The sequence below is a fragment of the Homo sapiens genome, chromosome 2 (assembly GCF_000001405.40).
Source record: "Homo sapiens chromosome 2, GRCh38.p14 Primary Assembly".
In the NCBI taxonomy this organism is placed as follows: Eukaryota; Metazoa; Chordata; class Mammalia; order Primates; family Hominidae; genus Homo; species Homo sapiens.
Window position 1 is genome coordinate 169,456,892 of NC_000002.12, and position 22,529 is coordinate 169,479,420.

General features: G+C 34.7%; 1 annotated feature.

The window, feature by feature from the left end:
• Nucleotides 22,417-22,526: an enhancer, noted in NCBI's record as "active region_16737". NCBI's record gives its function as "activates an Ori minimal core promoter by ATAC-STARR-seq in GM12878 lymphoblastoid cells {active_cell/tissue: GM12878}" and the evidence as "EXISTENCE:reporter gene assay evidence [ECO:0000049][PMID:35858748]".

The following is a 22,529-nucleotide window of genomic DNA, read 5'->3' on the forward strand; positions in this document are numbered from 1 at the left end:
TAGTGTTGGAAGCTCTGGCTAGTGCACTCAGGCAGGAGAAGGAAACAAAGGGCATTCAATTAGGAAAAGAAGAAGTCAAATTGTCCCTGTTTGCAGATGACATGATTGTATATCTAGAAAATCCCATCGTCTCAGCCCAAAATCTCCTTAAGCTGATAAGCAACTTCAGCAGTCTCAGGATACAAAATCAATGTGCAAAAATCACAAGCATTCCTATACACCAATAACAGACAAACAGAGAGCCAAATCATGAGTGAACGCCCATTCACAATTGCTTCAAAGAGAATAAAATACCTAGGAATGCAACTTACAAGGGATGTGAAGGACCTCTTCAAGGAGAACTACAAACCACTGCTCAATGAAATAAAAGAGGATACAAACAAATGGAAGAACATTCCATGCTCATGGATAGGAAGAATCAATATCATGAAAATGGCCATACTGCCCAAGGTAATTTATAGATTCAATGCCATCCCCATCAAGCTACCTATGACTATCCTCACGGAATTGGGAAAAACTACTTTAAAGTTCATATGCAATCAAAAAAGAGCCCACATTGCCAAGTCAATCCTAAGCCAAAAGAACAAAGCTGGAGGCATCACACTACCTGACTTCAAACTATACTACAAGGCTACAGTAACAAAAACAGCATGGTACTGGTACCAAAACAAAGATATGGACCAATGGTACAGAACAGAGCCCTCAGAAATAATGCCGCATATCTACAACCATCTGATCTTTGACAAACCTGATAAAAACAAGCAATGGGGAAAGGATTCCCTATTTAATAAATGGTGCTGGGAAAACTGGCTAGCCATATGTAGAAAGCTGAAACTGGATCCCTTCTTTACACCTTATACAAAAATTAATTCAAGATGGATTAAAGACTTAAACGTTAGACCTAAAACCATAAAAACCCTAGAAGAAAACCTAGGCATTACCATTCAGGACACAGACATGGGCAAGGACTTCATGTCTAAAACACCAAAAGCAATGGCAACAAAAGCCAAAATTGACAAATGGGATCTAATTAAACTAAAGAGCTTCTGCACAGCAAAAGAAACTACCATCAGAATGAACAGGCAACCTACAGAATGGGAGAAAATTTTTGCAATCTACTCATCTGACAAAGGGCTAATATCCAGAATCTACAATGAACTAAAACAAATTTACGAGAAAAAAAACAAACAACCCCATCAAAAAGTGGGCAAAGGATATGAACAAACACTTCTCAAAAGAAGACATTTATGCAGCCAAAAAACACATGAAAAAATGCTCATCATCACTGGCCATCAGAGAAATGCAAATCAAAACCACAATGAGATACCATCTCACACCAGTTAGAATGGCGATCATTAAAAAGTCAGGAAACAACAAGTGCTGGAGAGGATGTGGAGAAATAGGAACACTTTTACACTGTTGGTGGGACTGTAAACTAGTTCAACCATTGTGGAAGTCAGTGTGGCGATTCCTCAGGGATCTAGAACTAGAAATACCATTTGACCCAGCCATCCCATTACTGGGTATATACCCAAAGGATTATAAATCATGCTGCTATAAAGACACATGCACACACACGTATGTTTATTGCAGCACTGTTCACAATAGCAAAGACTTGGAACCAACCCAACTGTCCAACAACGATAGACTGGATTAAGAAAATGTGGCACATATACACCATGGAATACTATGCAGCCATAAAAAATGATGAGTTCATGTCCTTTGTAGGGACATGGATGAAGCTGGAAACCATCATTTTCTCAGCAAACTATCGCAAGGGCAAAAAAACAAAAACCGCATGTTCTCACTCATAGGTGGGAATTGAACAATGAGAACACATGGACACAGGAAGGGGAACATCACACAATGGGGACTGTTGTGGGGTGGGGGTAGGGGAGAGAGATAGCATTAGGAGATATACCTAATGCTAAATGATGAGTTAATGGGTGCAGCACACCAACATGGCACATGTATACATATGTAACAAACTTGCACGTTGTGCACATGTACCCTAAAACTTAACGTATAATAATAAAATAAAAAATAAATAAATGTAATAGTAACATAATACATTCCATCTGTATATTCTACAAAAAATACTGCACCAACATAATCTTTCAGAGATGCCCTTTATGTAAAAAGCACTCTTTGGGTTCCAATACCTCCTCCTAACCCAGAAGATCCACGGAAAGTCTCAACCATTCATTTACTGATTCATTAAAGATGTTTTGAACACCCACTATGTGATAGGCACTGTGCATGTCACAGTTTGCCAGGAGATTTAGCCATATCTGGTCACTCTCACAATAGCTCTGCATAATTAGTCCCCAGCTTACGGTGGCAATAGCATAGGGATTTGGTTCAGAGTCCCTAGAGAGAACCTGGTCACCCCAAACGGACTCTTGTAGTTACTCGACCTGAAAAATGTCATAATAATCCTATATCTTACAGTGCTGCCTGGGGTAATATTCATCCATCACTGCTAAGGTGGGCAGCAGTCACCTGTAAAATGTCCACCTGGCCCCGTGGCTTCTCCCTTCTGGGCACCACCAAAGTCACATCAAGATTCACATGATCGGTTTTGTTTCATAACAGTGTTTTTGAGATATAATTCACATGCCATAAAATTCACCCTTTAAAAGTAGAGAAGTCAGTAGTTTTTAGCATATTCAGAGTTGTACAATCATTGTCATTATCTAAATCTAGAACATTTTCATTACCCCAATAAGAACCCCCATACCAACTATCCCAATAAGAAACCCCATATCCTATTCTCGCCCTTTATCCAACCCCTAACTACCACCAGTCTACTTTCTGTCTGTGTGGATGTGCTTATTCTGGCCTGATATAAATGGAATCATACAACATAAACTGGTACTTATTTATTTTACTTTATTTTATTTTTGACATAGAGTCTTGCTCTGTCACCCAGGCTGGAGTGCAGTGGCACAATCGTGGCTCACTGCACTCTCAACCTCCTGGGCTCAAGTGATCCTCCCACTTCAGCCTCCCTAGTAGCTGGGACCACAGGTACCCACCAATTATTGTTTTAAATTTATTGCAGGGATGAGGTCTTGCTATGTTGCCCAGGCTTATCTTGAACTCCTGGTCTCAAGTGATCCTCCTGCCTCAGCCTCCCCAACTCAGCCTCCCAAACTGTCAGGATTACAGGCATGAGCCACTGCATTTGACTCAGCATAAACTGTTTTTAAATGACAAGGGGAAGTAATTCTGTCACGTATTTCAGGAATTCTGTCATAAGTGCCATGGCTTGATAGGGTGGGTTTCTGCTTCCAGAAAAGGGCTTCCAGAGTAGGACCTAACATATAGATCTATAAATCCTTATAATATAAATCATGAACTATCTTGGGGGAGTATTTTTTAACTTTGCTAAACAATACAGCCAAATTGAAGTGAAGTTGGTTTTGCTCAGGACAAAAGTGGCTGAAATTAATCATCTGCTAAAATCATTTTTAAAGTATATTCTGCAAGATTGTGGAGTCCGGGTACAGTGCTTGTATCTATTATTTTATATTCTAAAGTAGGAGACAAGAAAAATGAACTATAAGCTTCTGCTAGTCTACCTTAATTAATCATTAAATAAACGTCCAAATCCCACACGCAGGTACACAGAGTGAGGTGAACTGACAATAACCCAGTAACCAGCCTGGGGCTGGAGAATAACATCTACAGGGAGAACTCACACCAGCCATTGGACTAGCCATCTTCCTCCCACCAATTCCATGAGGTAGGTACTATTAAAATGAAAAAAAAAAGAAAAAAAAAAAAGAGACTCAGGGGGATTCAATAACTTAACCAAGGGAGATTGCATCCCTGGCATGTGGAAGTGTTAAGTAACGATTAAAAGCACAGAATCAGGGCCGGGCATGGTGGCTCAAGCCTATAATCCCAGCACTTTGGGAAGCTGAGGCAGGCAGATCACTTGAGGAGTTCGAGACCAGCCTGGCCAACATAGTGAAACTCCATCTCTACTAAAAATACAAAAATTAGCCAGGCATGGTGGCCAGCACCTGTAATCCCAGCTACTCTGGAGGCTGAGACAGGAGAATCGCTTGAACCCGGGAGGCGGAGGTTGCAGTGAGCCAAGATCGCACCATGGCACTCCAGCCTGGGCAACAGAGCCAGACTCTGTCTCAAAAAATAAAAATAAAAATGGTGACTGGGGAGGGCTGTGGTCTGAGCTGACCTCGTGGTGCTGCAAAATGTGGCCTCTCAGTCAGTACGCAGGCCTAAGACAGTGAGTACATTGGTGATGCCACCCTGTTCACACTTCAGGCAATGTCTTCTGCATCTTGTTTCCTCCATCCAGTAAACACAAGTACCATAGCTCCCACATGCATTGTAATACATGCATTACAAGGATGGGGGAGAAGGGTTTGAAGAGCTACTGCCTCCTGCAGCAGCTCCATTACGTCACTGTAGATACAGACTAATGAAGTTTCTCTGCTATTTTCTTAAAAAGGAAAGTAAAACCAGGTCAATGAAGTGATAACAAGAACTAATGACCAGTAAGGTGTTTCCTGCCCATATCCCAAGGCAATAAGGGCAATTAAACTGATTTATGGCAACAATAATAATGATGCTACTGTTATCACAACTGACTTTGTCAGCAATGTCTTTATTTTTAAAAGACTAAGTCCTTTCAGTCCTACAAGTCTGCCTAGATTTCTGGGTGAAGGAACTCCAGGAGGGGGGAAAAAAAGCTGTTCCCTAAAACAAAGAAAGGACAAACTTGACTTTCAAGTTTTCTTAATAAAATATGCTGTCTCTATATTTGCATAACTTCCCGTATGCCTCCTTTGAATTGTTTTGGAGAAGAATCAATAGTCAATAAAAGAAATCCTTGCTATTTGTGACCTTGGAGCTGTGGGTTGAACACATAAGTAGAAGCTCATTAACATTCCAATACCTAAAATTTGAAGCACCTGTGTATTTGAAATCTCTGTTGTTTCTCCCAATATCTAGGGCATCTGTCTGTTTATTGCAGAAAGCGTCAACCTTTGCTATTCAGTAGAATCACATATGGAGTTTTTAAAAACCATTAGTCCCCAGGTTATGTCCCTAGAGACTCTGATTCCATTGATCTGGAATGCAACCTGGGCATCAAGAATTTCAAAGAGTCCAGAGTTATAGACAACCAAATATGGAAGTTGGTACTTAGTTGGCAGTCACATGGGTCTCTGGTCCTTCCTCAGTTTCAGTGGTTCTGGAGGATGGCTCCTTACAATTTGAGGTCTCCTTTGAAGTCCCTTCACTACCAAGTAAATTTTAATTTTCAGTATGGCCCATTGTCCATAAATGTCAGACCATGCCAACCTGAGCCTTCAGGACAGGTCTCCTAAATCGACATGAATTAGTGAGAGTTACCTTTCTCACAATCTCAACAGAAATAAACCCTGATAGATACCCAAGTGTATCAGTTCATACTACATCAAATTACCATAGACTGGGTGGGTTAAACAGCAAAGATTTATTTCTCACAGTTCTAAAGACTGGGAAGTCCAAGTCTGGTGAGGTCTCACTTCCCAGTTTCCAGACAGCCATTTTCTCCTTATACCCTCACATGCTGAGAGAGAAAGCTCTGGTCCCTTCATCACCTTATAACAGCATTAACCCCATCCATGAGGGCTCCATCCCTTGACGCAATTACTTCTCAAAGATCTCACCTCCCAATACCATCACATTAAGGATTAAGATGTCAACATATGAATTTGGTTGGGGGTTCATTTGGGGAACATTTGGTCATAACACCCAGTAACAGAGATTAGCTGAATGAAGAAATAGTTTGAGTATAAACTTACAAAAAAAACTTAGTTCTGGTAATGTGCCTGTTTAAAAATTATAATGTTATGTTCAATTCTGTTGTTTTTCTTCTGTATACAATAAGCTAGAATTGTTACTTCAGTATAGTATGAAATACATAGTATGATTAAATTTTGTAATTTAGCTGTAAAGTGGTGTACTTTTTTTACTGTCACAGGAAGACTGAAATCAAATGGAAACTACCAACCAAAAAAAGAACATCTTATAAGATGATTGGACCAATGAGAAAGAATACTGAATTTAGCATAAAATTATTTCCACTTCACACAGACATTTATGAAGCATCTACTAGGTGGCTGGCACTGTGCTAAGGACTCAAGATTCAAAAATGCATTGCTTAGGGCTGACCATCTAGTGAGAGAACAGATCGTTTCAATACACTGTGATCAGTGCTCCACTAGAAAGGAACAACAGAGCAGGAACCTTGACCTCAAAAAGGAGAATAGTGAAGGGGTAGGGAAACCTAATGAAGGAAATGTCTTTGCTATATTTTAAAAGATTGTTATCCACGTGCAGTGAATAGTTTAGGTGTTTAGGGGATAGAGCCTCAGTTAAAGAATGCTTCAGCTTCCTCTAGGTTCTGAACCAGCTCAGAAGTGGACTCAGCTAGGGATCAAACTAGAGATCAAAATCTCAGCTTTATTATTGTTACCTTTGCATTAATCTAAGAGGAAGGGTGGCTTTGCCAGGAGAGGAGGGAACAGTGATGGGGGAATCCTGTGGTTTTTGGCTCCCTATCACAGTGTGCTTTCTGGAATCTACAGTTATATAAACAGAGGAGTTTGCTAAATATGTTCAAATTACTCATTATTGTTCACTGAGTGAGGCAGCTGCGTCAGCGTCCTTAAAAGACCTATGAGGAGAATATACTTTTAGTTCTCACAAATTGTAATTGGAAAAAAAAACCTTCTTTGTTTTTATTTGAACTTATATCAGAGTCAATTCTAAGTTGTATAATCTATTTGGCACACACTGATTTATGGACACTCATATTTATTATCAAACTTGGTCCTAAAAGCTAAATGGGAGATGTCTGGACTAGCTTCTTATAGAGCATAGAGACCGCACAATCACACAATAAATTTTTTAAAAAGTATTACTGCAGGGTTTATTTTGAAATTTATGTGTGTATATATATATATATACACACACACACACACACACACACACACATACACATACACATACACATACACATACACATGTATATAATACTGATCTCTATCAACCACCATGTAAATTTTTGTGGAGGGCAAGTTAGACCCAAAGGTAATCAAAGCCACAGTAAAGCCACCTCTACTAGATTATCTAAAATTAGGAGCCATGAAATTTAGTCCCTCCTTCTGATTTCTACCTGGGAAGAAACAGTCACACAAAACCTTCATGTTTATAGTAGATTTTACCTAAAGTCTTGTGAGATAAATGGAGTTTACATCACAATCCAACAGGTAATTTAAAACTGAGAATTAGATGCCCATGCCATTGAAATGACCTTCTGCCATGTATTGAAGTTGTCATTTCTATAATACTTTCAAACCTCCCACCAGGTTTCTCAGCGCTCCTCTCCCTTCCCCCAACCCCCTCAAAATGTGAGTATCCTAAAGTTATCTATAAAAGCTGATGGCCTTCCAGAAAGCATTTTTCATGCTATTTATTTTTTATTAGTACACGTAATAACATTACAGCTTACAAAATGGATTTTCTAAGCTTTACTAGTTATGTTATAATCAGTAGATACTAAAAATTCCAAGAAATAAAAAACTTTTTTCTTCTTTCTATAACCTCTCTGATCGCTAAAACTTAACCTGATGGTTAATGTACTGTAAATAGTTACAACATCATCAGATTGTTTTTGTGTTTTGGATTTGCATGAAAGAACAATAATGATGAAACCCATTCCATTCATCATGTTTGTGTTTAATACTGTGAGGAGCTGTACTTTTTATCAGCTCATTGAGCACTGAAGCTCAATTTTAGAGTACAGACCACACTGTCAGACAAAATCATAACCTTTTAAGTGTATTGCTACATACTATTAATGGCATTCTATTAAAATAACTTTGGGCATCAGAGTAGATCAAACTACTTTGCAGGTATGGGCTGAAAATGTTTATAAAATGTTTTATTAAAATGATTAATCATGGAATGTAAATAATTACAGATATTTTCATTGTTCTTTTTATACAGAAGATACACAGAAACTATGATGTAGATTAACTTAGATCAAGGCCATGCTACGTGTATAATACAGTGGTATTATGATATGGATATAAATGACTGCACTTAGTTTTGGTAGAGTGGTTGCCACGGAAATGTTTATCATTTTGTCAGTGAAGGTCAACACATGAAGGCCTGCTCATTTTTTAAGTGGAGCTTGAGGTAACTTTATAAATGTGAATTTAAAAGACAACTTGATGGTCTGATGGGTTTAGATTGGGGAGGAGGATGTATGCAGCAGAGAAGAGCATAAGGAAAGCACAAGGCACATACTGGGAATCAGGTTTAATAGTTCAGGATACCTGCCCATTGTTAAATACTGAAATGCAAGGCTAGAATTCCGGGGTAACCTGGCTTGATAATTTTATATATATTTATATTTATATTTATATATAAATATATATTTATATTTAATATATATTTATATATAAATATATTTATATTTAATATATATTTATATAAATATATTTTTATATAAATATATATTTAATATAAATATCTTTATATTTAATATATATTTAATATAAATATCTTTATATTTAATATATATTTATATATAAATATATATTTATATTTAATATATATTAATATTTAATATACGTTTATATTTAATATATATTTCTATATAAATATATTTATATTAACATATATTTATATATAAATATATTTATATTTAATATATTTACATATAAATATATTTATATGTAATATATTTACATATAAATATATTTATATTTAATATATATGCATATGTAAATATATTTATATTTAATAATATTTATATATAAATATATTTATATTTAATAATATTTATATATAAATATATTTATATTTAATATATATTAAATATATATTTATATTTAATATATATTAATATTTAATATATATTTATATTTAATATATATTATATATAAACATATATTTATATTTAATATATATTATATATAAACATATATTTATATTTAATATATATTATATATAAACATATATTTATATTTAATATATATTTATATTTAATATATTATATATAAACATATATTTATATTTAATATATATTTATATTAAATATATATTATATATAAACATATATTTATATTTAATATATATTTATATTAAATATATATTTATATTTAATATATATATATTAAATATATATTTATATTTAATATATATTTATATTAAATATATATTTATATTAAATATATTTATATTTAATATATATTTATATTAAATATATATTAAATATTTAATATATATTTATATTTAATATATACATATATATTTATATTTAATATATACATATATATTTATATTTAATATATACATATATATTTATATTTAATATATACATATATATTTATATTTAATATATAAATTTATATTTTATATATATAAAAATATATATTTATATTTAATATATATAAATATATATTTATATTTAATATATATATTTATATTGAATATATACATAAATATATATTTATATTTAATATATAAACATATATTTATATTTATATATTAAATATATATTTATATTTAATATATAAATATATATTTATATTTAATATATTTATATATACTAATATATTTATATTTAATATATTTATATATAGATATATTTATATTTAATATATTTATGTGTATTAATATATTTATATTTAATATATTTATATATTAATATATTTATATTTTATATTTATATATTAATATATTTATATTTTATATTTATATTTTATATATTTATATATTAATATATTTATATTTATATATATTTTTATATATTAATAAATTTATATTTTATATATTTATATATTAATAAATTTATATTTTATACAGTTATATAAATATATTTATATTTTATACAGTTATATAAATATATTTATATTTTATAGTTATATAAATATATTTATATTTTATACAGTTATATAAATATATTTATATTTTATACAGTTATATAAATATATTTATATTTTATACAGTTATATAAATATATTTATATTTTATACAGTTATATAAATATATTTATATTTTATACAGTTATATAAATATATTTATATTTTATACAGTTATATAAATATATTTATATTTTATACAGTTATATAAATATATTTATATTTTATACAGTTATATAAATATATTTATATTTTATACAGTTATATAAATATATTTATGTTTTATACATTTATATAAATATATTTATATTTTATACATTTGTATTTAATATATATTTATATATAAATATATTTTATATTTAATATATTTATATATAAATATATATTGATATTTAATATATATTTATATATAAATATATATTGATATTTAATATGTTTATATATAAATATATATTTATATTTAATATATATGTTTATATATCAATATATATTTATATTTAATATATATTTACATATAAATATATATTTATATTTGATATATATTTATATTTGATATATATTTTATATATATTAATATATTTACATTTGATATATATTTTATATATATTAATATATTTACATTTGATATATATTTTATATATATTAATATATTTACATTTGATATATATTTTATATATATTAATATATTTATATTTGATATATGTTTATAGATAAATATATATTTACGTTTAATATATATTTATAGATAAATATATATTTACGTTTAATATATATTTATCTATAAATATATATTTATGTTTAATATATATTTATAGATAAATATATATTTACGTTTAATATATATTTATAGATAAATATATATTTACGTTTAATATATATTTATCTATAAATATATTTACGTTTAATATATATTTATATATTAATATATTTATGTTTAATATATATTTATATATATTAATATATTTATGTTTAATATATATTTATATATTAATATATTTATGTTTAATATATTTATATATATTAATATATTTATGTTTAATATATATTTATATGTTAATATATTTAGGTATATATATATTTATATGTTAATATATATTTATATTAATATATTATATTTATATATAAAAGTATATATAATATATAAATATTATATAAATTATTATATAGTATTTTTATATATATTTATATATAAATTTTATATATTTTATATATATAAATATATATTTATATATACATTTTATATATAAATATATATTTATATATACATTATATATATAAATATATATATTTATATTTTATATATAAATATATATATTTATATATACATTTTATATATTTTATATATGTAAATATATATATAAATTTTATATATTGTATATATATTTATAAATTTTATATATATATTTATATATATAATATATATAATATATATAAATTTTATATATATTATATATATTTATATTTTATATATTATATATTTATTTATATATATTTATATGTTATATATATTTATATTTATATTTATTTTTTATTTATATATTTTATATATATATTTATATATGTATATTATATATATTATATATTATATAATATATTATATATATTATATTATATATTTATATTATATATTTATATTTATATATATTTATATATTTTATATATATATATATTTTTTAGATGGAGTCTTGCTCTGTTACCCAGACTGGAGGGCAGTGGCACTCTCTCCACTCAATGCAACCTCTACCTCTCAGGTTCAAGCAGTTCTCCTGCCTCAGACTCCCCAGTAGCTGGGATTACAGGCACACACCACCATGCTTGGCTAATTTTTGTATTTTTAGTAGAGACGAAGTTTCACTATATTGGCCAGGCTGGTCTCGAACTCCTGACCTCAAGTGATCTGCCCACCTCAGCCTCCCAAAGTGCTGGGATTACAGACATGAGCCACTGCGCCCAGCCAATAATGATAATTATAAGGAGAAATGAAACTTTCAAAGATTAAGGTCACTGAAGTATGATAAATGAAACTAGGAGTCATTGGTTTGTTTCCAGTTTACCAGATTGGAAGTCAATGGGATTGTTGTCAATGGGACTGTTGACATTGAGAAGAGAAAAGGCCTAGTTATCCCATTACTAGTAGCATCAAAATACAGGGACTGCAGCTACTATAAGGAGAAATGGGGATCTTAATAGGAAGATAGGAGGTGATAAGCGCAGAGCCTTTCTCTCTTCTCCATCCTCCCCTTGTGCCACTGCCAACCTTTTATACTAAATAACATCTCAATCTACCCAAGCAAGAATACATTGCTTTGGATATGGCACATTAAGAAAATGAACATGCTTTTACAGCATGGGACACAATTCTTAACAGCATATATTAATTGCTGATCAATTTAGTCACAAGTTGAGAATTTTGTGTGTATTGCATTCCTTTTCAGTAAATAAAACATTTCTCATTGATACGATCTCTATGATATCCAGGAACACACCCCATAGAACATCTTGTACATAAACCATAACGTTTCATTTCATTTTGCATAAGCTTGAAGTCTTTAAATGGATTCCACAACTTCTTTATAGTAAGAAAGTCTTTGTTTTTAATAAAAGAACAAAGGATTCAATAAATTCAACAATTCAGTAAACAGATTAAATATTTTAAAATAAAAATTTGTATGGTTACATTAAACTCCCTATTAGCTCCTTTTTGTATTTTAAAACAATTTGCAATAAGCACTACTCAGGAACTTGTGGCATGTATTTATTGATTGTCTTCACATAGAAGTAAAGGAATAGGTCAGAGGTAAGGTTCAGATCAAACGCTTGGAATAGCTTAAAATAACTACTTCTCCCTTTAAAGGCTTTTTGTTTAGTATCAGGTTTCTAAAGTTAGACTTGGAAAGTTGTTCCTAAATGCAATAATTTTGTCTTTAGATAGAAATACATTTCAAAAAACAAAAGCTGACGAGTGTTGGTGAGGTTGTGGAGAAATTGAAACCCTTGTACACTGTTGGTGGAAACGTAAAATGGTGCAGCCTCTATGAAAAACAGTATGGAGGGTCCTCAAAAAATTAAAAAATAGAGCTGCCATATGATCCAGCAATCCCACTTCTGGTATATATTCAAAAGAATTGAAATCAGGATCTTGAAGAGGTATTTGCATTCCCATGTTCATTGCAGCATTATTCACAACAGCCAAGATATGGCAACAACCCAATTGTTCATCAACAGATGAACAAAGAAACTGTATATACAGTCATACGGCACTTAATGGGGATACATTTTGAGAAGTGCATTGTGAGGCGATTTTGTCACGTGAACTTCATAGAGTATACTTACACAAACCTAGATAGTACAATCTTCCTATATATCTAGGGTAAATGGTATAGCCTATTGCTCCTGGATTAAAAACCTGTACAGCATGTGACTGTACTAAATAATGTAGGCAATTGTAAGTATTTATACAACTAAACATAGAAAAAATACAGTAAAAATATGATATAATCTTATGGGACCAGTCATATATGCAGTCTGTGGTTGACCAAAACATTGTTATGTGGCACATGACTGTACATACAATGAAATATTATTCAGCCCTAAAAAAGAAAAAAATCCTGCTATTTGCAACAACATGATGGACCTGGAAGACATTATGCTAAGTGAAATAAGTTACAGAATGACAAATACTGCATGATTTCTCTTACATAAGGCACCTAAAATAATCAAACATGGACTGTATGGACTATAGAGGCAGACAATAGAATGGTAGTTACCAAGGGCTGTGAGGAAGAACATACGGGGAGTTGTTCAATGGGTATAAAGTTATAGTTAAACAAGATGAGCTAGTTCCAGAGATGTGCAGTACAACATAGTGTTTATAGTTAACAATAAGGTATTGTGCATTAGAGCTGGGCATGGTGGCACATGCCTGTAGTCCCAGCTACTTAGGAGGCTGAGATAGAAGGATCACTTGATCCCAGGAGTTCAAAACTAGCTTGGACAACATAGAGAGATCCTGATTCGAAAAAAAAAAATAGATCTCTTGTTAAGTGTTCTCACCACAAAAAAAATTAAAACAAACAAAAACTACAAAGGGACACAAGGAAACTTTTGGAAGTGATGGATATGTTTATTTTCTTGGATGTGATGTTGGTAACAAAAGTGTATACATATGTCCAAACTCACCAAACTGTATACATTATGTGCAGTTTTTTGTATACCAATTATATTTCAGTAAAACTAGAAAAAAGAAATATATTTCAGTCGACATTGACTGCCAAGTTATTGAACAAAGAGCAAAATATTTGCACCAAAGGGCATTTTATATTATATAAACTCTAGATTATAGATTATTTTTAGTCTTAAGATTGTAAAATAGATTTTGGCTTACTGAATGTCTTCTAATAAGGCATGTCTGCTTGGAAGAAAGAACAGCAATTACTAGGGCATCCAACATATTGTGGGAACCCAATGAAAGGGGAAAGCTGACACCCTGGAGGAAAGGTTGTTACTATTATCTATGAACTCTCAACATTAATAAAGAAGATATCATTTTTATTTTGTTTTTCTTTTTTTATTTTTTTAAGCCCTCATCCATATGTGTTGTCAAGGGTGATCATTTTTTAAAGGAGATGGATGCAGTAAGGAGAAGAAGAAATGACTCAGTGATATAAGGCTAATAACCAGCTTTTATTCTTGTTTTGACTTGATTGTGCTTCTCTGCTATCCAGGCTAGGCACTGTCTTTCACTGAGATATAGACTCCATGAGGGCAGATGCCATGTCTGGTTTGTTCAGGAGTATTACTCCAACATTGAGCACAGAACCAGGCATGTAGCTGACCTTCAATAAATATCTCCAGAAGTATTTAAATGAACCATGCTGTTCAATGATATTAAAAAACGTAGTTTTCCTTGAAATTTGAAAGTAAAAATTTTGCCTTACACATATTATATATATTGACCCAAGACATCTTAAGAAACAAGTTTGTTTTATTTGTAGAGACCAAAACAGTGTAACTGGGATGTCCATGACCTTAAATATTTGTCTTTTCTTTGTGTTAGAACCATCCAAATTCTTTACTTTTAGCTGTTGAAATATACAATAGGCCAGGCATGGTGCCCCATGTCTACAATCCCAGCTCTTTGGGAGGCTGAGGTGGGAGGATCACTTGAGGCCAGAAGTTCAAGACCAAACTGCCCAACATAGCAAGACCCCATCTCTATTTTAAAAAAAGAAGAATAAATATACAATGGGTTATTGTAAACTATAGTCACCCTACTGATCTATCAAACACTGAGCTTTATGTCATCCATCAAACTGTATCTCCCACCCATTTTCAACCAAAATATTCAGATGATTTAAAGTGATCATTTATTAGGTTTAAATGATCTGCATAATGCCACAGCTTTTTATTTTTGTAGCCCCAATATTGTTCTGAGATAGGAGCAAAGTGTTACTAAACACTTAACAACAAAGCAGAATTTGGGAAGTAATTTTTTTAACAAATATCTTCCAATTGCTTGTTGAAATTCTTTCTTCATGAGTCCCACGTAAGTCATTCATTTATTCACTAATTCAACAAATATTTGTTGATATTCCATTAGGTCCCAGATGCTGTGCTAGATACTGGGAATACAGTTGGTAGTTTTTAACAAGTTAAATATATACCTATCACATGACCCAGCAATTTCACTTGTAGGTATTTACTCAAAAGAAATGAAAATCTATATCCCACAAAGACTTATGCATTCATGTTCTTGGCAATTTTATAATTTTATCAAGTTTTGTATGAATGTCCTTGGCAAGCTCCAGCAGAAAACTGGAAACAACCCAAATGTCCAAAAGATGAAACAAATTGTGGTATATCCATAGAATACAATACAAGACAGCAATAAAAAGAAATGAACTACTGATACATGTAACAGTATGTATAAATGTCAAAAACTTGCCAAATGAAAGAAGTCAGATACAAAACAATACATACAGTACACAATTTATTATACCACTTATATGAAATTCTAAAACACTCAAAACTATGGTATGGCAAATTTATGTTATATATGTTTTAACACAATTTAAAATATGAAAAAAATCTATAGTGATATTAATAACAAGCAAACAAGTGGTTTCCTGGGGCCTAGAACTGACTGCAGAGGAACACGAGGAAAGTTTCTGGGGTGACAGAACTGTTCTATATCTTGATTATGGGATTGATTACATAGATGCATACACTTGTCAAAACTCATCGAAGTGTACATTTAAAATAGGTACATTTGCGGCCGGGCGCGGTGGCTCACGCCTGTAATCCCAGCACTTTGGGAGGCCGAGGCGGGCGGATCACGAGGTCAGGAGATCGAGACCATCCTGACTAACACGGTGAAACCCCGTCTCTACTAAAAATACAAAAAATTAGCCGGGCGTGGTAGCAGGCGCCTGTAGTCCCAGCTACTCGGGAGGCTGAGGCAGGAGAATGGCGTGAACCCGGGAGGCGGAGCTTGCAGTGAGCCGAGATCGCGCCACTGCACTCCAGCCTGGGCGACAGAGCGAGACTCCGTCTCAAAAATAAATAAATAAATAAATAAATAAATAAATAAAAAATAAAATAGGTACATTTTATTGTATGTAAATTATACCTCAGCAAAGGTACTTGGTGAGGGGAGAGTTGAAAACCTACCAATGGGTACCATGCTCAGTGCCCAAGTGATGGGTTCAATTGTACCCCAAACCTCAGCATCACACAATATATCCTTGTAACAAACCTACACATGTACCCCCAAATCTAAAATAAGAGATGAATTTTTTAAAAAAGAAATGTGCTATCAAGCCTTGAAAAGACATGGAAGAACCTTAAATGCATATCGCTAAGTGAAAGGAGCCCATCTGGAAAAGCAACATACTATAGGATTCCAACCACATGACATTCTGTAGAAGGCAAAATATGAAGGCAGTAAAAAGATCTGTGGTTTCCGGAAGTCTAGGGGGCAGAAGGCAGGGATGAATAGGTGGGGCATAGGGGATATTTTAAGACAATGAAACTATTCTGTACAATGCAGTGATGGTGGACACAAGTCATATCATCATGTATTTGTCAAAATCCATAGACTGTAAGAAAGAAAAATATGAACCCTAATGCAAACTATGGATCTTAGTTAATAACTTATCTATATTAGTTCATCAACTATAAAAAATGTACCACACATTGCAAGATGCAAGATGCTAATCATAGAGGAGAAGCTGGGGTAGGGGAGGGGATACATGGGACTCTGTACTTTCTAGTCAATTTTTATGTAAACCTAACACTTACCTAAAAAATAAAGTTTATTTATTTATTTATTTTGAGACAGAATCTCGCCCTTTCACCCAGGCTGGAGTGCAGTGACACGATCTTGGCTCTCTGCAACCTCTGTCTCCCAGGTTCAAATGATTCTCGTGCCTCAGCTTCCAAAGTAGCTGGAATTACAGGCAGGCGCCACCACGCCTGACTAAATTTTTTTTATTATTATTTTTAGTAGAGACAGGGGTTTGCCATGTTGGCCAGGCTGGTCTTGAACTCCTGACCTCAAATGATCCACCCACCTCGGCCTCCCAAAGTGCTGGGATTACAGGCATGAGCCACCTCACCCATCCAAGTATATTATTTTTTTCTAAGTATATGAAAGTCAGTTATATGCGTATTGATGAATAATAGGTTGTCATTGTCTTCCCCCAGTCATTTCAAAGATTCTACTGTGATGCCAGTATGTTAATGCTGCTGCACAGTAAATTATCACAATCTTAGAAGTTTAAAATACACAAATATATCACCTCACAGTTTTTGTGGGTCAGGAGTGCAGACTGGGTCTCTGCTCAAGGTCTCACCCAAAGTCAAAATTCAGCCAAGAACATGATGTCATTAAACCCATTCAGGTTGCTGGCAGAATTCGGTTCCTTGTGGGTAAATGACTGGAGTTTCCATTTTCTTGCTGTCTCTCAGCTTCTAGAGGCCATTCTCAGTTCCTAGCCATGTGGCTCTCTCACAACGTGGCTTCTATTTCATCAAAGCCAGCAGGAGACTCTCTTTTAAAGGCTCACCTGATAACAGCAGGCCAGCAAGGATAATCTCTCTTTTGATTACTTTAAAGGACGTTAATCATATCTGCAAAACTACTTCACCTGTCATATAACATTACCTAATCGGAGGACTGATATCCTATCACATTCATAGATTCTTCTGCACTCAAGAAGAGGGGATTATATAAGGCATGTACACCAGGAAAGCAAGAATCTTAGGGGCTATGTAGAATTCTGCCTACCACAGTAGGCCCCTTGGCCTCCAACAATTTGTGTTCCTTCCAAAGGGGAAAAAAACTTCCTCCCTCCCAAGGTTCCCCCCATCTTCTTACAGCATCAGCTCAAAGTCCAAACTCTCATCATCTGAATTATATATATCTGGTGAAGATGAGGCTGGGTGTGATCCATTAAGCTCAGTTCTTCAAAGCACAATTCCTTTCTGTGGACTTGTGAAACTAGAGACAAGTCTGCTCCCAACACTCCATCACACAACGGTGGGACTGACATAGAATAACAGTTACAGACATACCAATACAAAAATGGCGAAAGGGAATAAGGAAATGGAAGGTAAAAATGAGTTACTGGTATATAACAATTCTGTCATTTATCTGGACAAATGTTGGATTTTTATTGATTAAGTTTTAAGATCTAGGAATAATCTTCCTTGACTTCCAACCTACCCTTTGGGCTCTTGGTTCCATTGTGAGTCATCCTTGCTTTTTCATGGAAGGTAGCACATGTTTGATTAATCTATCAGCCTGCTTCCTACCAATAGGATTTTGCTAGCTCTAAAAGCTCCTGCTTGCTCACAAGTTCCAAAGCCAATTCTACGATTTGTCCTCCCTAAAGACAGGGTCTGTCTCTGTCACCCAGGCTGGATTGTGGTGGTGCAATCAATAGCTGACTGCAGCCTCAAACTCCTGTGCTCAAGTGATCCTCCTGACTCAGCCTCCCAAGTACCTGGGACTACAGGTGCACACCAGTACCTCTGGCCCGCATTTGTATTAGTGTTTTATTGCTCCATAATAAATTATCACAAATTTAGCAGCTTAAAACAAAACAGTTATTATCTTATCATTTCTGTAGGCCAGAAGTCCAGGCAAGCTTACCTGGGTTCTCTGCTTCAGGGTCTCACCAGGCTGCAATTCAGATATTTCCTAAGGCTACAGCCTCATCTGAAGCTCAACCTGGGAAAGATCCACTTCCAGGCTCATTCAGATTGTTGGCAAATTTCAGTTCTTTGGACCTATAGGACGAAGGTCTCTGGTACTAATTCATAACATAGCGGCTGGCTTCTTTCTTTTTTTTTTTTTTTTTTTTTTGAGACAGAGTTTCACTCTTGTCACCCAGGCTGGAGTGCAATGGTGCAATCTCCACTCACTGCAACCTTCACCTCCCATGTTCAAGCAATTATCCTGTCTCAGCCTCCTGAGTAGCTGGGATTACAGGCGCCTGCCACCACACCTGGCTAATTTTTGTATTTTTAGAGGAGACAGGGTTACACCATGTTGGCCAGGCTGGTCTTGAACTCCTGACCTCAGGTGATCTACCTGCCTTGCCCTCCCAAAGTGCTGGGATTACAGGCATGACCCACCGCACCCAGCCTAGCAGCTGGCTTCTTCAAGGCAAGTGGGAGGGTCTTTCTCACCCCAGTTGGCTGAGACCAAGTCTTTTATAACATAACAGTCGTGGGAATGACATTTCATCACCTTTGATATATTCTATTGACTAGAAGCAAGTTCTCAGGTTCCAACCACACTCATGGGGAAGAGATTATACAAGGGCATGACTCATTGGAGTCCACCTTAATGTGTGTACACTCACGTTCCTTTGTCTCCATCACCCTCTTCAATCTGAGAAAAACACCTCATGGCCTTTCACATTAGTATCCCTAGTATTTGGCATATAGCCTGACCTATAGGAGCTCTAAATAATAATTCAAAGCTGCAGTTATCAAACTTTTGGTTTTGGGACCCCACTATCCTCTTAAAAACATTATTGAGGACCTAAAAGAGCTTTTGTTTACATACATTATATCTGTTAATACTGAGCGTTTTAAAACTCATTCATTCAAAAGTAAAAATCACTTATTATGTATTAACATATATAGCATTTTTAAAAAATAATTATATTTTCCAGACAATTTGTGAGAACATTGCTTTACATTTTTGCAATTTTTTTTAATGCCTGGTTTAGTAAAAGGCACCAGGATTCTCATACCTGCTTCCACATTCAATCATCATGCCTGGGTATGGTGGCTCTTACCTATAATCCTAGTGCTTTGGGAGGCTAAAGCAGGAGGATCACTTGAGGCTACGAGTTTGAGACCAGCCAGGGAAACACAGAGAGACCCTGTCTCTACAAATAAAATAAAATGAAATAAAAAATTAGCCAGGACTATGCCCGTAGTCCCAGCTACTCGGGAGGCTGAGGCGGGAGTATCACTTAAGCTCAGGAGCTTGAGATTACAGTGAGCTGTGATCGTGCCACTGTACTTCAGCCTGGGTGAATGAGACCCTGTAAGACAACAACAACAACAACAACAACAACAACAAAATCATATAGCCTCTGGAAAACTCCACTATATGTGAATGGGAGTTAAAAAGGCAAATGATGTCTTCACATTATTATGAATATAGTTTGACCTTGTGGGCCCCCTGTAGGGATCCAGATCAGTCTTTGTGAACCACTAATTTAAATAATTGTCATGCATTGAGAAAAGGGACTTTGATTCATTCAAGAAGTATTTACTGGGTCCTACTCTGTGCTGGGTATTGTTCAAAGCAGTCAACTAGATAGATCAGGTGTCTGTCCTCGGGTTGTTCACAGCAGGTGGGGCAGAAGGATCAGGGACTGCTGGAGTTGACATGTGAGCTGAGATGTGATTTGATTTGATTTGATTTGACTTTTTTTTGGAGCCAGAGTTTCGCTCTTGTTGCCCAGGCTGGAGTGCAATGGTGTGATCTCGGCTCACTGCAACCTCCGCCTCCCGGGTTCAAGTGATTCTCCTGCCTCAGGCTCCCGAGTAGCTGGGATTACAGGCGTCCACCACCGTGCCCAGCTAATTTGGGGTTTTTAGTAGAGATGGGGTTTCACCATGTTGGCCAGGCTGGTCTCGAACTCCTGACCTCAGGTGATCCGCCCACCTCGGCCTCCCAAAGTGCTGGGATTACAGGCCTGAGCCACAGCGCCCAGCCCAAGCAGAGATTTAAGTGACAAAGGGCAGGCCTATGCAGAGGTCTGGGGAAACAGTGTTCCAGGCAAAGGAAGGGGGCCCTCCAAAGTCTCTGAGCCCTGTCTGGCAAGAGAGCAGCCAGAAGTGAGGGTGGTTGGAGGTTGCAGACATAGGCAGGGCCACATTGAGCTAGGCCCAGGTAAGGAATTTGAAGCTTTAACTCTAAATTTCTTTTTTCCTCATTCTAAAACCATCCCAATAAAATTTATAAAAGTAATCAGGGAAGAAAGTGTGGGGGAGGGGACAAAAATAAACCAAGCTTGCAGCCAATTCGGCATTAATCATGAGGTCAGCTTCCTCTCTGACCTGCTTGCTCAGAGTTGTTTGGTGCCTATTGTCCTAGAATCATGCAGACCCTGTCACAAGATTATAGTTCCCTTCTATTGCTCTATAGAGAACAACTTGAACATTATGAAATACTCAGTTTTCCCTTTGAGATAGTCTTTCAGATCCTGCATACCAATGAAACTACTGCCTCAGCTGGCCTGAAGGATCCCACTGATGCCAGCTGGTCTGAGGAACCCGTGAGAAACTGATTCAGCAAAGAATGCAGCTTCCCTATCCTGATGATTTCATCTCCCTTACTCCGACCAATCAAGGACCCCAATTTTCCAGCCCCTCGCCCTCTGTGATCCTCTTAAAAACCTCAGCCCAGAACTCTTGGGAAGATAGATTCGAGGATCTCTTCCCATCTCTTTGCTAGGTGCCCTGCAATCATTAAACTCTTTCCCTGCTGCAAACTCTGCTGTCTTCGTGTAATGGGTTTGTTACTGCACAGCAGGCATACGAACCTGTTGATCCTATATCTCTATCACCTAGGCTGGAGGGCAGAGGCACGATCATAGCTCCCCGCAGCCTCCACCTCTTGGGTTCAAGAGATCCTCCCGCCTCAGCCTCCCGAGTAGTTGAGCCTGCAGGCGTGCACCACCACCCCTGGCTAATTTTGGGTTGGTTTTGTTTGTTTGTTTGTGTTTGTAGAGATGAAGTTTCGCTATGTTGCCCAGGCTAGTCTCGAATTCCTGGCCTCAAGTGATCCTCCAGCCTCGGCCTCCCAAACTGCAGGGATTACAGGCAGAAGCCACCATGCCCGGCTAATAACCTGAATCTCTTGACGGTGAAGAGAAATAAGGAGAGGGGTAAAATGGCTAAAGGATGTCTGTTTGGAGGCAAGGAAGGTCGCCCAGAGGTCAGGCACGCTCCCCTTGGCGGACACAGCTGGGCTTCTCAGAGACTCCTAAATCCTGCCTCGCATCTCAAATCGGCTTAACGACGCGAAAGAGCTGGGCGACGCGCGCG